Source organism: Homo sapiens, chromosome 10, assembly GCF_000001405.40.
Source record: "Homo sapiens chromosome 10, GRCh38.p14 Primary Assembly".
NCBI lineage: Eukaryota > Metazoa > Chordata > Mammalia > Primates > Hominidae > Homo > Homo sapiens.
In genome coordinates this window covers 86859410-86876315 of record NC_000010.11, presented here as the reverse complement: position 1 = coordinate 86876315, position 16906 = coordinate 86859410, and the positions used below count along the sequence as shown (strand labels likewise).

At 41.7% G+C, this 16906-nt stretch overlaps 1 protein-coding gene across 36 annotated transcripts in view, besides 5 other annotated features; it reads right to left on the bottom strand.

Annotated features, from left to right (window-relative positions):
• Positions 1-16906, bottom strand: part of BMPR1A (bone morphogenetic protein receptor type 1A) — a 177082-nt gene that overhangs the window by 56529 nt on the left and 103647 nt on the right. For 31 of the 36 annotated variants that reach the window (NR_176213.1, NR_176212.1, NR_176211.1 and 28 more), the window contains one exon: positions 231-449. The exons of 4 other annotated variants lie outside the window; for them this stretch is intronic. Coding sequence is in view for 28 of the 32 variants with exons in the window: in NM_001406562.1 (NP_001393491.1) it covers positions 231-297 (67 nt within the window). In the remaining 4 variants the exon portion in view is untranslated. Of the gene's footprint in view, positions 1-230; positions 450-9042; positions 9171-16906 lie in introns of all 36 variants that reach the window. One more of the 36 variants, NM_001406581.1, reaches the window with a different exon arrangement.
• Positions 3285-3404: an enhancer, noted in NCBI's record as "active region_3697". NCBI's record gives its function as "activates an Ori minimal core promoter by ATAC-STARR-seq in GM12878 lymphoblastoid cells {active_cell/tissue: GM12878}" and the evidence as "EXISTENCE:reporter gene assay evidence [ECO:0000049][PMID:35858748]".
• Positions 4052-4613: an enhancer, noted in NCBI's record as "OCT4-NANOG-H3K27ac-H3K4me1 hESC enhancer chr10:88631460-88632021 (GRCh37/hg19 assembly coordinates)". NCBI's record gives its function as "activates a minimal SCP1, AML or CMV promoter by ChIP-STARR-seq in primed H9 embryonic stem cells {active_cell/tissue: H9 hESC(primed)}" and the evidence as "EXISTENCE:reporter gene assay evidence [ECO:0000049][PMID:30033119]".
• Positions 8125-8712: an enhancer, noted in NCBI's record as "H3K27ac-H3K4me1 hESC enhancer chr10:88627361-88627948 (GRCh37/hg19 assembly coordinates)". NCBI's record gives its function as "activates a minimal SCP1, AML or CMV promoter by ChIP-STARR-seq in primed H9 embryonic stem cells {active_cell/tissue: H9 hESC(primed)}" and the evidence as "EXISTENCE:reporter gene assay evidence [ECO:0000049][PMID:30033119]".
• Positions 10605-11256: an enhancer, noted in NCBI's record as "OCT4-NANOG-H3K27ac-H3K4me1 hESC enhancer chr10:88624817-88625468 (GRCh37/hg19 assembly coordinates)". NCBI's record gives its function as "activates a minimal SCP1, AML or CMV promoter by ChIP-STARR-seq in naive and primed H9 embryonic stem cells {active_cell/tissue: H9 hESC(naive and primed)}" and the evidence as "EXISTENCE:reporter gene assay evidence [ECO:0000049][PMID:30033119]".
• Positions 11257-11909: an enhancer, noted in NCBI's record as "OCT4-NANOG-H3K27ac-H3K4me1 hESC enhancer chr10:88624164-88624816 (GRCh37/hg19 assembly coordinates)". NCBI's record gives its function as "activates a minimal SCP1, AML or CMV promoter by ChIP-STARR-seq in naive and primed H9 embryonic stem cells {active_cell/tissue: H9 hESC(naive and primed)}" and the evidence as "EXISTENCE:reporter gene assay evidence [ECO:0000049][PMID:30033119]".

The window sequence follows — 16906 nt, the reverse complement described above, 5'->3', positions numbered from 1 at the left end:
TGTGAAGGAGAAGACAGACTCAGACTGAGATTTCAAAAATACTTGAAAATGTTTCCATCACAGCCAAGTTAAAAAATTATTTGGCACGTGTTTCATCTTTGCTTCTTTCCTAAAAGCTGCCCTAGTAGGCTGGGCCTAACTATTCAAACAGGGATGAGTTGAAAGAACAGAAGCAAGAAATAGTGCTTTTTATATACACACATACATTACTAAAATGAACACTGATTTACCTTGAACACGAGAAATGATGAACAAATAGGCTCCCAATAATCTGATGTAAATGTATAGCTGAGGCATTGTTCAATTGTAATGTTTCCTGTGTACTGTCACCTTTAATAATTGGTCTTGCTACTTCACCAATTTAAATGACTATCATTCAGTGAGATTTTCTTGTAAAAGATCGCAAGCACTTGACAATGACTTCAACTCCCACTGCTTTCTTACGACTCCTGAAAGACAAAAATATTTAAAAGGTAAGGAATACAACTGAATTTTGGAAATTTTTCAAAAACTAAAAGGGAAACAAATGCCCAAACACACCTTTAAACAATGAAATACATTTTAAAAGATTAAAGGTATCCTTGCTTTTTTTTTTTTAGGCACTATAATTTCAAACTTCAAATAATTTAGTTAATAGGCTGCAACCTCTCCTGACCTCAGATTAGCCATATGTACAACAAGGGAAGTATATTAAACAATCTCAATAGTCCTTTCTGGCTGTTCTAATTATTTTATTAATAACATGAAAATTCCCAACTATATTAAGACTTAAACAGGAAAAGTTAAATTTAAAACATAAGGGTAACCATCAACATTCTTGCAAATTCTAGTAGATATAATGAAAACACCCTAAGTCTTTCTAATAAATAATTTATTCTATAGATAGAAGAGGAAGCCGACCTAGAAAATTACACATATTAATTCATTTTATTTTATTTTATTTGAGACAGAGTTTTGCTCGGTCGCCCAGGCTGGAGTGCAATGGCACCATCTCGACTCACTGCAACCTCCACCTCCTGGGTTCAAGTGATTCTCCTGCCTCAGCCTTCTGAGTAGCTGGGATTACAGGTGTGCACCACCACACTCGGCTAATTTTTGTATTTTTAGTAGAGATGGGGTTTCACCATCTTGGCCGGGCTAGTCTCAAACTCCTGACCTCAGGTGATCCGCCAGCCTCAGCCTCCCAAAGTGCTAGGATTACAGGTGTGAGTCACCATGCCAGGCGAAAATTACACATATTTAATTAAAGAGGGTGCTTCATCATTAAAGGAAAAAAAAGAAAAAGGAGCCAGGTGCAGTGGCTCACACCTGTAATCCCAGCACTTTGGGAGGCCAAGGTGGGCAGATCACCTGAAGTGAAGTCAGGAGTTCAAGACCAGCCTGGCCAGCATGGTGAAACCCCATCTCTACTAAAAATACAAAAATTAGCCAGGCATGGTGGTGGGTGCCTGTAATCCCAGCTACTCAGGAGGCTGAGGCAGGAGAATCACTTGAACCCAGGAGGCAGAGGTTGCAGTGAGCCAAGATTGCAGATTGTGCCACTGCACTCCAGCCTACACGACAGAGCGAGACTCCATCTCAAAAAAAAAAAAAAAAAAAAAAAAAAGAAGGTCGGGTGCAGTGACTCACGCCTGTAATCCCAGCACTTTGAGAGGCTGAGGTGGGCAGATCATGAGGTCAGGAGATCGAGACCATCCAGGCTAACATAGTGAAACCCCGTCTCTACTAAAAATACAAAAAAAATTAGCCAGGTGTGGTGGCAGGCGCCTGTAGTCCCAACTACTCAGGAGGCTGAGGCAGGAGAATGGCTTGAACCCAGTAAGCGAAGCTTGCAGTAAGCTGAGACTGCGCCACTGCACTCCAGCCTGGGTGACAGAGTGAGACACAATCTCATAAAAAAAGAGGAGAGGAGGGGAGGGGAGCGGAGGGAAAAAAGCAGTATCTTAAAGAAATTATTTCCTAAAATATTGCAAATTTGACTTTATTAAGATGAAACTGAACTTCTAATATGGATGACATGAAACATAATCTCTCCAATTAAGGTTTGGTGATTATTAATATAGACAGTGAACTTTTAAATGCCTCAAAGTAAAATTGTTAAATAAATAACGGGGGAAAAGGCTAATTAGTATCAAGATATATATCATTCTACTTTACCCCCATCCCATTGTTTCATGTGGTTTGATTTTATTGACTTTCAGCTTGAACTATTCCTGAATGACAAAGATCTTGCTTATTTATGACACAATGACCCTGGTGTGATTTCTACATTAATAACCTGAGCTTTCTACTTTATAATATCTAAGTAAGAATTTTCACTTTAATTAGCTTTCCAAAGTTATTCACAGTACTGAGGCAAAGAAGGTTTACAGTGAGGTATCATTTACACGTGTATGTTATATGTAGCTTAGTTCTAAAAATCCCTGCAATCTCTTATTTCTGTAATATAAAATTGTTTCCCATTACATAATGCTGAGAGAAAAAGATGTAAAGTCTAAAATAACTATAGAATAATGTCTGCCACATGATTTAACAGCATTTCTTTGAAAACTTCTTGAAATAATTCAACTGTCATTCTAAGGATATATGTTCCAGGTTTCCAATTCAAGAGAAGTTTCCAGTGTATTTCCAATCCTAATCTCTCTTCCTCATTTCAATTTTCCCACTAAATATTTCTACTAGAATCACACTCCACCTGTCTAAATCAAACCCACACCTTTCTTTCTTGCTCCTCCACTGGCTACCACTCTCCAGTGGATACCATGCCAGAAACCCTGGCTTTGGTCCTGCCTCCCTTGCTAGGTCTCCACCCCTCCCCAAATTTTCACTTATTAATTTACTCACTTATTCACCAACAACATCTTTTTTTTTTTTTTTAATTTAATAGGGGTGGGGGCGGTGGGTCTCGCTATGTTGCCTGGGCTGGTCTCAAACTCCTGGCCTCAAGCAATCCTGTGGCCTTGGCCTCCTCCCAGAGTGCTGAGATTACAGGTGTGAACCACTGCAACTGGCCTGCATCTGGAGTACGTATTACCGACCCAGTGTTAGGTACCAGAAATACAAATATGAGTATGGTTGTTCCTGCTGCAAGGAACTCACAGTCTTGGGCAGGAGACTGACCGCTATGCCTTGTTACATCTTTCATTGTCACTGTTTCCTCATTGGTTTATTTAAAGCTAATATGTGGCCTTGTCTCATTAGAGCCACAACCAAGGCACCCTGCAGAGCTGGCTGGCCGTGAGACTCTAAGTGCTTTCCCTTTCAGAGGAAAGGACTGTGTGTGAGTTCCTTCCGCAAAAACATCCACGACCCTGCTACCCTGGCATAAGTTCAAATTCTGGATCTGCCTTTAACTTAACCTCTCTGAATTAGTTTCCTCATCTTTAAAACTGGAATGAGGCCAACTGTGGTGGTGACCGCCTGTAATCTCAGCTGTAATCCTGGGCTCAAACAGGATCACTTGAGCCCAGAAATTCCAGGCTACAATGCACTGTGATCACAACAGTTAAGAGCCACTGCACTCCAGCCTTGGCAACACAGCAAGACCCCATCTTAACAAACAAACAAATCTGGAATGATATTTATTAACTGACAGTTATTTTGAGAACCAAATGAGATAACAGCAAACACATATTTAAAATAATTTTTAAAATAAAAAATTAAATAAATTTAAATATTTTTAAACTTAAGGAACTCATATAAAATAATAGCTAACACATATTAACCTCTATGTGCCAGTAGTCATAAATGCTTTGCATATATTAAGTTATCAAACCATCAACCAACTTATTTAAAGGTTAAATTATTATTTTAATTTTACAGATGAAGAAACAGGCAAGTAGACTTTAAGGAACTTATCAAAGATCACACAACAGGTTAAGTGGCAGAGTCATAATTAAAATCAAGGAGGTCTGATTCCAGATTCTACATGTTAACAACTATCCTATACTTCCCTGCCTGATTTTATATATATTATATAATGTAAATACACATTTTAAACTATTTAGGAGAGCCTGGTACATAGTAGGTGCTAAATAGAAGTTTCCTCCTCTCATCCATGTTTACAACACACTTGCCAACCTGGCAAAGGAAGTCACTAACAGGTGCTATCCATAACAATTCAATCTGCAAGAAATTTTTATAGACAAAAAAAGCTGTGATAACTTGTATGGAGAACAGCCATCAAATCTTCCCTGACTACGAGCTCAATACGTATTGGTATTGATGACAACTCCTAAGACATGCATGCAGTCTGAGAATGAAGGGAAATGCTGCTGTAATCAAACAGGACAACCATCTTACTGTATTCCACCTGGCCAGGCCTCCTAAGCACTTGAGAGAAGAATGACAGGAATGCAAAGGACATAGCAACCACTCCACTTGAGATACAACCAAAAGAACCCAGGGACTTTGCTCACAGAGTACATAAGGAATAAAGTTTGAGAGCATCTTTGTCAAAGACATGACCAACATGATAGAAAGGGAGACTGGACTAAATTTTTTTTTTTTTTTTGGAGGCAGAGTCTCACTCTGTTGCCCAGGCTGAAGTGCAGTGGTACAACCTCAGCTCACTGCCTCCTGGGCTCCAGGCAATCCTCCCACCTCAGCCTCCTGAGTAGCTGGGACCACAAGCACGTGTCACCAAGCCTGGCTAATTTTGTATTTTCTGTTGAGATGGGGTTTGCCATGTTGCCCAGACTGATCTCGAACTCCTGGACTCAAGCAATCCACCCGCCTAAACCTCCCAAAGTGTTGGGATTACAGGCGTGAGCCACCACCGCCTGGCCCTAGACTAAATAATCTACGTTATCCCTTCCAATGCTGGAGTCCTATGGAAACAGTGTTCTTGCCGTTGAATTATTAATTTATTCCCTAAATGTTTATTAAGTGTCTGTGCTATGCATGATTCTGTATTAGATACCAAGAATACACTGTTCAGAGCCAAACAGGCCCAGCCTTCATGAAGTTCAGAGTCCTTAAACAAAACAATTAAGATACTCAAGACACCAAACAAGAAAACACAAATGATACACAATCATAACTCATGATAAGTGCAAAGGAAGAAAAGTGCCAGGTCCTGAAGGAATAGGGGCAGTGACCCCCCTCTAATCTAGATGAAGCGGAAAGGGAAGCAATGCTGAGAAGTGACCTTTAAGTTGAGATCTGAAAAATAGAGTCAGTCAGGCAAAGAAAGACGGGAAGTTCTAAGCACAGGGAACACCGTGGGCAAAGATCTTGAGGGAGAGAAAAGCAAAGAGAGAACAATGTCTGAAATGTTGAGAATAAGAGATAGTGTAGTGGGAGATGAGGGTGAAGAGGCAGAGAAGACAAAGACCAGATCAGGCAAGGGCATATGAAGGACTTGGGATTTAAGCCTAAGTGGGCATCATCTGACTTCTACGTAATGGACTGGAGGGGATAATAGCAAAAGCAAACAGATGAGTAAGCAGAATATTGTGGAAATTTAGGAGAATGACAATGGTGGTTAAGATTAGGGCAGAATCCGTGTGCAGATGGATGAATTAAAAAAAAAAAGAATAGGGTGGCAGTGGTATAGTGGATGGACTCATGCTATACTTCAAAAATAATTTTTGGCTGGGTACGTGGCTCACACCTGTAATCTCAGCACTTTGGAAGGCTGAGGTGGGAGAATCACTTGAGGTCTGGAGTTAACACCAGCCTGGGAAACACTGCAAGACCTCATCTGTACAAAAAACTTAAAAAAATTAGCTGGGCATGGTGGTGCATACCTGTAGTCCCAGACACTAGGGAGGCTGAGGTGGGAGGATCTCTTCAGCCCAGGAGTTCAAGGCTGCAGTGAACTTTGATTATGCCACTGCACTCCAGCCTGGGCAACAGAGCGAGACCTTGTCTCAAAACAAAACAAAACAAAACTCAGTGGTACTTAGCAATGGATTAAATGTAGGGTAAGGGAAAGTGAGGCGTCAAAGAAGATTCCCACATCTGTGGCATGAACAGTTATTGAAATGGGAATGAGTGATTTTGACAGGAGTGAAGAGATCAAAGGTTCAAATTTAGAGATCTGAGATTACCCAAAGGGAATGTCTAACGGGCATTTGGTTCTGAAACTTAAAGGACACATTTGGGGCTGAACATACAAATCGGTTATGCTAAAAGAACGGTAATATTCAGCTATGACTCTGGAGATGGCCTTCCAAGAGAGTGAAAAGAGGGGAGGGCCCCAGAACACCATTCGTCTAAAAACTGCATTAATAAAGGCGTTAACACCACATACACTGATGTGGTATTCACTGATAAAATAATAAATATAAATAATTTTTAAAAATCAGCTCCAGTATTTATTTGCTGTGTGATTTTGGGGAATTACTTAAGCTATCCAGGTCTCGGTTTCCTTCACCACAAAATGGGGATATTACTAACTCAAAAGAGTTAGTAATATTACATCTCAGTAAACATTTCAACAAACAGATGTAATTATTAATAACTGAGCACTTCTCCTTTGTCTCATATTAACTGTTTCTACAATCACATAGCAAAATATTAACCTTATTTTTCAACAATTCTTTTTTTTTTTTTGAGACAGAGTTTCACTCTTGTTGCCCAGGCTGCAGTGCAATGGCGCCATCTCAGCTCACCGCAACCTCTGCCTCCAGGGTTCAAGCGATTCTCCCGCCTCAGCATCCCGAGTAGCTGAGATTACAGGCATGCGCCATCACGCCCAGCTAATTTTTGTATTATTAGTAGAGATGGAGTTTCTCCATGTTGGTCAGGCTGGTCTCGAACTCCCAACCTCAGGTGATCCTCCCGCCTCTGCCTCCCAAAGTGCTGAGATTACAGGTGTGAGCCACAACGTCCAGCCTTTTTTTTTTTTTTTTTTGAGACAGAGTCTTGCTCTGTAGCCCAGGCTGGACTGCAGTGGTGCAACCTCTGCTCACTGCAACCTTCACCTCCTGGGTTCAAGCAATTCTCCTGCTTCAGCCTCGGAGTAGCTGGGACTACAGGTACGCACCACCACGTCCAGCTAATTTTTCTATTTTCAGTATAGACAGGGTTTCACCATGTTGGCCAGGCTGGTCTTGAACTCCTGGACCTCAGGCGATCTGTCCACCTCGGCCTCTCAAAGTGCTGGGATTACAGGTGTGAGCCACCGTGCCTGGCCACAATCATTCTTAAAATTATGTAATTGTAATATCTAACGATAAAATATATTTTTTAAATTCCTAAATGATTCATCGGAATTTTTACATTAAAAATATCTAATCTTGCAAAGTGAAGAATATAAGGAGATGCAGATATTTGACATGCTGCATAATCAAAATTTTTTAATCATGCTGCCATTTAAAAGCTATTGAATAGTTAGACGAAATGGGCATCTAAATAAATTTACTTCCCCTTGCTATATACACAGACTGGTACTGTTTCTTTTCAGGAAAATAACATTAAGGCAGAATTACTCAAATATAAATAATTTCTTTTTTAAGTAAAAGATTTTAAAACTCCTCAAACAGCAAGACAACTGAACCAACAGTTCAATTGGAACTTAAAAAAAAAAAAACACAGGAAAAGGCTGAAGTCAGTTGAAAAAACAGACTACAGAGTAAAGTCATTCCTTCCTCTTCCTGTTAAGCCCCCCACCGTTGATTTTCACTTTCTAGTAGAGAAGTTTGGGAATTTCCAACAAGCTGGCCAGCAGCCAATTCCATAAAATAGCAAGGAGAAAACTCTCCTTTCCAGGGGTCCCTCCCCGCCAGGCAGCTCCAGGCGCCGGGTCTGACAAGCTTTCTGAGAAGGAATAGACTCACTGCAGACTTCCTGGCTCCAAGGCCATTGTTCGCATGGCTGCTCTGCTCCTTATCCAGGGCCTGGATTAGCATAAGAATATCATCTTTTCCCTTAACAAGCAACTCATCCATTCCTTCCCGTTCTCTACACTCCTCCCCATCAATCCTTAGAGGAATACACACTTGTACAACTGGAGCAACACCACTCGCAGTTATTTACATCAGTGTAGAAAACAATATCCCGCAAATCTAAACATAAACCCTGAAGAAAATAACTTGCTTAAAGAGTTGTCTGAGTGTATCTGAGGTAATACACAGAAATCTTACCGAAATGCCTGCCTTGGTGTCCACGCTGTCAGATCTTGCTATGGGTAAGACATTCATAACAGGGTGTTTTAGAAAGTTTTACAATAATGCCCGTGGGCCAGGAGCAAAGAGAGCCAACCATGCAACTAAGTGAAGACCTAAAACAGGGATGGGGAAGTTCCACTGTATAAAACTTCCACTGTCATGTCTCCACCACTTTGAAGTTACCAATTTCATCGCCACCCCTGAAATTACTTTCCAACTCTACCTTTCCCCCATGCTCAATTATTAATTAACAATCAAAACAAGCCCACATTTAACCTTTGTATTTCTGCTCAACTGTCCCTGCCCCACTCAAAACCTTCACTTTCCTTCTATGCCAAGATAGTTTCCCCAACACAAGTATAAACTCTTCCAGGACCACAGAATCAAGACAATCTAGTATAGCATTATATATAGTTGATGCTGTGTGTTTTATACCCTTCACCAGGACCTCAACATTAGATGCAGAAGAAATGCTTCCAGGTTTCTGAAACATTTTTCAAATAGATAATCTGTTTTCAAAACATCATTCAACCTTGTACTACAAATTCCCTAACCTAGTTTCTCCAAAGCTTTTTTGTTTAACTGTATTCAACAACAACAACAAAAGTCTCACAATTACAACTAGATTGTACTACACAGCAATCTTTGGCATATCTGTACTTCGAAGAGATTCGTAATGTCTGTCAGCTGTCTATTTAAGAGACCTAGGTGTCACTCTTCTGTTTCTCCTCTAGAACACGCAGAAATGACCAAAAACAGGCGAAGTGAATCAGTTATTGCAGAACTGTCTGGAAAGGGAGAGGGTCTGGTCACCCCATAGGCATACAATGGGTACAAGTTGACTACTCCTTATTAGAAATGCTTGGGACCAGAAGTGTTTTGGATTTTGGATTTTTAAATTTGTAATATTTGCACTATCTATACTTACTGGTTCAGCAACTCAAATCCAAAACACCTAATGAGCATTTCCTTTGAGCGTCATGTCAACACTCAAAAACTTCAGGTTTTACAGCATTTCAGATTTCAGATTTTTGGATTAGGGATGCTCAACCTTTACTGGTAAATTGAATAGAGAAAAAAACAGTTTAATGTGGTGGTAAAGAGTTCAGAGTCTAGCCTAAAACAGATGATCTAGGTATTTTGTGCAGATTAAATCAGAGAAACTCAGATATGTGGTGGTATTTAATGGTACCTGCTTAGCATCCCATTGTCACTGTCATTTTTATAACTTACAAATTAGTTTTACGTGCATTATCCCATCTCTGTGATCCTTACAGTAAGTAAAATCATTCCTACTTACAGAGAAAAGATAGGTTCAAGGAGATAAATAACTTGCTGAATTCCATGTAGCTAGTATATATGACAAACTAACACCCAGGTTTTCTAATCCAAAGTGCAGTGTTTTGTCGGGTATACCATGAGCACATATGTTAAACAGGAAACTGGAAGTTATTTTTTACTGAACCCTGTAAGATCTTTTTTCATCTTCATAACTCTGAAAAAAAAAAAAATGAAGCGCAAAGAAACTTGCCTGAGTTGGCCGGGCATGGTGGCTCACGAGGTCAGGCGTTCGAGACCAGCCTGGCCAACATAGTAAAACCCTGTCTCTACTAAAAATACAAAAAATTAGCCAGGCGTGGTGGCAGGCACCTGCAAACCCAGCTACTCAGGAGGCTGAGGCAGAAGAATCACTTGAACCCAGGAGGTAGAAATTGCAGTGAGCCAAGATCACACCACTGCACTCCAGCTCAGGTGACAGTGCGAGACTCCATCTCAAAAAAAAAAAAAAAAAAAAAAAAAAAGAAAGAAACTTGCCCAACTTAACACAACCAGTAAGTGGCAGGTTTGCTGCTGACAAAGCCCAAATTCCACTTGTTACTGCATGTTAAGGCGCTGGCAGGAAAGTAATGAGATTAAAAAACAGAAAGTACTGTGTCCCTTTTTACACTATCGCTTTTCAGCCAAAAAAAAAAAAAAAAAGCTCCCTCTTCTATCTATAGATTCTGCTTTCTGATGCTGGAGCTGGGATGCTGCTGACAATATGTCCTTCACCAGCTGGTTCCTGGAGAGGCTCTGCCAACTGGGGAACTAGAGAAAGCTGGAAGAGGGGAGAAGGGACTTTCTTTTTCCCAATTTGGTTCGCTGTTCCTGTCAGTTGCCTGAATGCCACTGGCATTCAATTGGCAGCAGCAATCTACACTCTCTGCTTCCTTCCACACTCCCAGAACCAACCCCATGGAATCCTTTTAGGCCCAGTGGTGCCTACTACTCAGGATCTCAGTCCCAGCTCCTCAAAAACCCAGCTTTGCACTCCCCTCAGGCATCAGCAGTGGCTGGGTTACCACCCCCTCCTAAGAGGATCTAAAAATATGTAGGTGACTTTTTGGTTGGAATAATGTCTGGGATATGACAGGACATACAGTTTGACCAGGGACCAGGATAGAAAATGCAATGTGCAGGGACAATCCTTCAAAATAAAGAACCAAATGCTAACAGTACTCTCCTTGTTGAGAAATACTGGTTCTTTTTTTGTGGGGGCAGGGGAAGATAATTTCTTTTTGTCAACTCAATTTGTAGAGAAACACTGATTCTTGCCTAGTTTCATGTGCGTCTGTGTGAAGAGACCACTAAACAGGCTTTGTGTGAGCAATAAAAGCTTTTAATCACCTGGGTGCAGGCGGGCTGAGTCCTAAAAGAGAGTCAGCGAAGGGAGATGAGGGTGGGGCCGTTTTATAGGATTTGGGTAGATAAAGGAAAATTACAGTCAAAGAGGAGTTGTTCTCTGGCGGGCAGAGTGGGGGTCGCAAGGTGCTCAGTGGGGGAGCTTTTTGAGCCAGGATGAGCCAGGAAAAGGACTTTCACAAGGTAATGTCATCACTTAAGGCAAGGACTGGCCATTTTCACTTCTTTTGTGGTGGAATATCATCAGTTAAGGCAAGGACTGGCCATTTTCACTTCTTTTGTGGTGGAATGTCATCAGTTAAGGCATGGACCGGCCATTTACACTTCTTTTGTGGTGGAATGTCATCAGTTAAGGTGGGGCAGGGCATATTCATTCTTTTGTGATTCTTCAGTTACTTCAGGCCATCTGGGCGTATATGTGCAAGTCACAGGGGATACGATGGCTCGGCTTGGGCTCAGAGGCCTGACATTCCCGCCTTCTTATATTAATAGGAAAAATAAAACAAAATAGTGTTGAAGTGTTGGGGCGGCGAAAATTTTTGGGGGGTGGTATGGAGAGAGAATGGGCGGTGTTTCTCAGGGCTGCTTCAAGCGGGATTAGGGGCGGCGTGGGAACCTAGAGTGGGAGAGATTAAGCTGAAGGGAGATCTTGTGGTAAGGGGTGATATTGTGGGATTGTTAGAAGAAACATTTGTCGTATAGAATGACTGGTGATGGCCTGGATACGGTTTTGGATGAATTGAGAAACTACAAGGTCCCAATAAAAGAAGTAGAAAAATGGGTATTAAAGGACAGAATTGGGAGACCCAGGACATCCAATTAGAGAGTGCCCAAGGGGATTCAGCATAATTACTTGCTTGGTTGGCAAGTTTTTGGGCTCTATCCTTGAGTTTTTTTATGTTGTCATACACTAGGCCAGATTGATTTAGGTAAAAACAACACTCTTCATTTAAGAATATACAGAGTCCTCCTTTTTCAGCAGTGAGTAAGTCAAGGCCTCGGAGTTGTCCTTGGAGGACAACTGCAGCTGAAGAGTCAACTAGGGCCTGGAGGACTGATAAAGTTTGTGATATGTCTGTGATGCTAGCAGAGAAGTCATTAGACAGGCTACGGAAGGTCGTGACAGAGGTTGAAATGCCTGTTATTCCAGTACCGAGAGCAATAGTGGAGGCAGAAACTCCTAAACCGACCATCAAGGGAATTAGTGGAATAACTTTTTTTTGTCGTGTCGGTGTCATGAGGGGAACAGGGAGCTCTTCGGTCCCATTTGCAAACTGAATTTTGGGGATAAAGAAAACTAGTGTGCATGTGCCTGTCTAATTAGCAGGTAGACACATGTAGGTAGAGGATCCACAGAGGAAGAAGAGACCTTGTGCGAGGCAAAACTGGAGATGTAAAGTAAAAAGGTGAGAAGGAGTGCTGAAAAGGGTATCATACTTCATTACTATCTAATGGTTCCTTTGTAGTTCCAGCTGGTCAAGTGGCAACACTATTAAATCTCTAAGAAGAAAAATTATCTTGATCAAACTAATGTATGAATACAATTTTACTTTTTTTCCCTTCCCACCTGACTGCTTTAAAAAGGAATTGTTTTGTTAACCATGGTGCTTGTACAATGCAAAAGCAATTTTTAAAAATCAATCATTTCCACTTATGTAACTATTTAAAAATTTTTTTTAATTCAGGGTACAAAGATTTCCCCTAAGATCTCAGGAGTAGAGGCTCTTACACTAAGCATATTCTATCTTCCCTGCCACAAAAAGTTCAGGGGCGAGCTGGTCTAATAGTCTCAGGACTTTGACTGACCCTGCAGTGACAAAGTCACTCTCTCAGACTCAATATGAATAAGGCAGTCCCAGAAACTGCTGGCAGCTATGTTGGGCCCAGAAGGAGAACCAGAAGGCAGAGCCAGGAGACTGAAAGAAGCCAGATCCCGGGAGACATCGATGAGCCACTCAAGCAACCTTGTCTGAAGCCTCAATTACTTTGGAACTCTTAAGAGCCAATAAATTCCATTTTTTAGGTCAGAGAGAGTCAATTTTTCTGTTACAACCAAAAATATTCTAGCTAATATAGCTAATATGAGGATTAAAGGGAAAGGCACACTTGAGTATTCTGGGTTAGATTAGCATAAAATTAGCAATTCTGAATAAAGGCAAATAAATGTCTTACCAGAAAAGATACTTGATAACATCTGAAAAGAAAACACAGGCTGCTATAAGTGCTATTTTTAAGACAGCTAAGGCCCGCACAGTGGCTCTCGTCTGTAATCCCAGCACTTTGGGAGGCTGAGGCAGGCAGATCACTTGAGGCGGGGAGTTCAAGACCAGCCTGGCTAACATAGTGAAACCCCATCTCTACTAAAAATACAGAAATTAGCCAGGCCTGGTGGTGGGTGCCTGTAATCCCAGCTACTTGAGGCCGAGGTAGGAGAACTGCTTGAACCTGGGAGGTAGAGGTTGCAGTGAGCTGAGACTGTGCCACTGCATTCCAGCCTGGGCGACAAAGCGAGACTGTCTCAGAGGGGGAAAAAAAAAAAAAGGCAGCTCAAATAGTATAAATATTGACTTAACAATGTTATCAGCAACTATACAATTTGTCACTATTTATCTTTCCTTGCCTCTTCCCTCCCAAATTTGCTAGATCCTAAGTCTTTCCCACCTCCGTTGACAGCCTCTTTACTTGGTGTAAAATCTTAAAAGTCCCAGGTCTAAAATCTTTTTTTTTTTATTTTTAGAATATCGCTACACTGATGTAACCAGGCCTAAAATCTCAAGTCATTCTTGACAACTCCCTCTTTCCTTCTTGCATTCCATTTCCTGTCATCAAATCCACTGGTTGTACCTGCAGAATCTGTCCAGAACCCACACACTTCCTACTACCTCCACTGCTCGCTCTGGACCAAGCCACTAACCCCTTTGCCTGGATTGCTGAAGGCACCTCCTAACTGGCCTCCTGCTTCCACCTGTGCCCACTATGGATTTGCAACACAGCAGCCAGAGTGATCCTAAGAGAAAGCATGTTAAACCACATCACACCCCATTCAGATCCCTCCAACGGTGCTCCAACTCACTCAGACAAAAAGCTAAAGTCTCCAGTGGTCCACCCTCCCTCCGTTCCAGCCTAATAGGTGTTCCTTGCACCTGCCGCTCACAGTCCTGCTGCAGGACCCTGGCACGTGCAGATCCCTATGCCTGTAATGGTCTTCCCCGGGACTGCTGCCTTGCCCCTTCCAAGCACTTACTCAAAATCCCTTTCTTATTTACAGGCTTCCTGCCCACCCTATTTAAAACTGTAATCCCATCCCCATGCCTAGCACTCCTCTCCTTTCTGGCTGTTTCTTTCTCTTTAGCATTTGTCATGCTATATAATTTGATATAATTTTTCTGTATTTTATTGCCTGCCACCTGCTCTAGAATATATGCTCCATGAGGCCAGGAGGGTTAGTCTGTTTCACTCACTTTATATTTTTAGCACCTGGAACAGTGCCTGGCACAGAGTCGATACTAAATAAATATTTATTGAGGGAATGACTGAATGGAGCAGAAGAAATTAAAACATTATGCCAATTCCTTTCACTTTTATATACAAACCAGACTTTCCCAAAAGAGCAGTACAGTGGATAAACTATCCCATTTCCCTATCTCAACACAACTGAAATGATATAAAAACCACACCACTTCCTTTTGCTCACTTCCATCCCTGACTTGTGTCAAGATCCGGTGAGGAAAAAGTTTCCGCTGTTTTCATGGATATCCTCAAGTTTGAGATATAAATTAAAAGGGCTTAAGAAAGGCTTGTATAAGTAAACACCACATCCCCAAATCTAAAATGTCTAAAATGTTGCTTAAGGCAAACAATGGCTTGGGTTATGCTTTTACAGTACCACATGTTATACCAAGTTAAATAAGTATGGAAATAATTACAGACAAAAAGAAAATGAAGTCTTTCTTTGGGTACAAACAATGTGGTCTGACAAAGGGAACTTCAAAGCATGATCTAAATTCAACTGCAATCTTTCAGTACATAAACAACACACTGAAGGTTCAAAGGTAGTATGTGTACGTAAAATTTAAGTCTCTAACTGCCCTGAATAAGGGCAGAGGGTGTTAAAATAGATTTTTAACAATTCTTCCCTGACAAGCATGACCAAAAAAGGACAGCATAGAAAACTAAAATCTTACAAACCCATAGGTTTAAGAAAGAACTCCCTCAAGATGACAGATTCCTGCTGTATGCACGTGAAGCTCAAGAACTTGGGAACCTAGAAGAGTTCCCCGCCTTGGGAATGAAATATCTGTACTTTATTTTCTTTATTCTGCGTTACAACATCTTTTCAGGTTGAAATGTACTGGTTTAGGGTGTTGTAAGAAGTTCTAGGCCAGGCGCGGTGGCTCACGCCTGTAATCCCAGCACTTTGGGAGGCCAAGGATGGCGGATCACAAGGTCAGGAGATTGAGACCATCCTGGCTAACATGGTGAAACCCTGTCTCTACTAAAAATACAAAACATTAGCCGGGCGTGGTGGCGGGCGCCTGTAGTCCCAGCTACTGGGGAGGCTGAGGCAGGAGAATGGCATGAACCCGGGAGGTGGAGCTTGCAGTGAGCCGAGATCATGCCACTGCACTCCAGCCTGGGCGGCAGAGCGAGACTCCGCCTCAAAAAAAAAAAAAAAAAAGTTCTATGGCATGAAATGGATTTGACATTTACTTGTCCCTGCTTTCCTTTTAGCATCTTTTTTTTTTTTTTTGATATGGAGTCTCATTCTGTTGCCCAGGCTGTAGTGCAATGGCACAATCTCGGGTCACTGCAACCTCCGCCTCCCAGGTTCAAGCAATTCTCCTGCCTCAGCCTCCCGAGTAGCTGGGACTACAGGCACATGCCACCACACTTGGCCAATTTTTGTATTTTTAGTAGAGACAGGGTTTTGCCATGTTGGCTAGGATGGTCTCGAACTCTTGATCTCGGGTGATCCACCAGCTTCGGCCTCCCAAACTGCTGGAATTACAGGTGTGAGTCATGGCGCCCAGCCCCGTTTAGCATTTTTCTTTAAGCCCAGGTACCTTTCTGATTTTTTCCTGGGATTTCTAGTTTAAACACACATCAACTTGCCTTTTATTTCAAAGAAAGGATTGTTAAGTAACATATAGCATTGCCTTACATATTGTTAAACTTTCTACAGATATATAAAAACTTTACTGTTTTTATATATATAATGCTTTAATTTTGTTCACATAACACTGTGAAGTATTTCCATGATAGATACTTGTAGTTCTTCTTAATTCATTTTCATTGTTATCTAGTGTTTTATCCTATAAATATCTTATGGTCATATTTGCTCATTCTCGTTGATGAACATTTTCTTCTTAGAGATAGGGTCTTGCCATGCTGGTCCAGGCTGGAGTGCAGGAGCTATTCACAGGTGCAATCAGATTGCACTGCTTCGGCCTCCCGAGCAGTCCCAACTACAGGTGCATGCCACAGTGCACAACCATGTTGATGGACATTTTAGATCATTTCCAATAATTTAGTATAAGCAATGCGGCAATAAATAAACTTGAAGAGATGCTTTTGTTGTTGTTTGGGCTGATAAAACTGTAGGCTGGATTTGCAGAAGTGGGATTCTAGGTCTAAGGGAGGTTTTGGTTTTTTTGAACAATACAGGTTGGAACTGCATGGGTCAATTTATATGCAAGTTCTTTTTGTTTTTTGAGACGAGTCTCACTCTGTCGCCCAGGCTGGAGTGCAGTGGCGCAATCTTGGCTCACTGCAACCTCCGCCTCCCAGGTTCAAGAGATTCTCCTGCCTCAGCCTCCCGAGTAGCTGGGACTACAGGCGCATGCCAGCAAGCCTGGTTAATTTTTATATTTTTAGTAGAGATGGCGTTGGCCAGGCTGGTCTCGAACTCCTGACCTCAGGTGATCCACCTGCCTCAGCCTTCCAAAGTGCTGGGATTACAGGCATGAACCACCACTTCCGGTCTCTTCTTTTCAATAAGTATAGCAATCTCTTCATATTGCAGGCAAACATGGGCTGAAAATACAGTATTTAGCTGGGCGCTAATGGCTCACACCTATAACCCCAGCACTTTGAGAGGCCAAGGCAGGAGG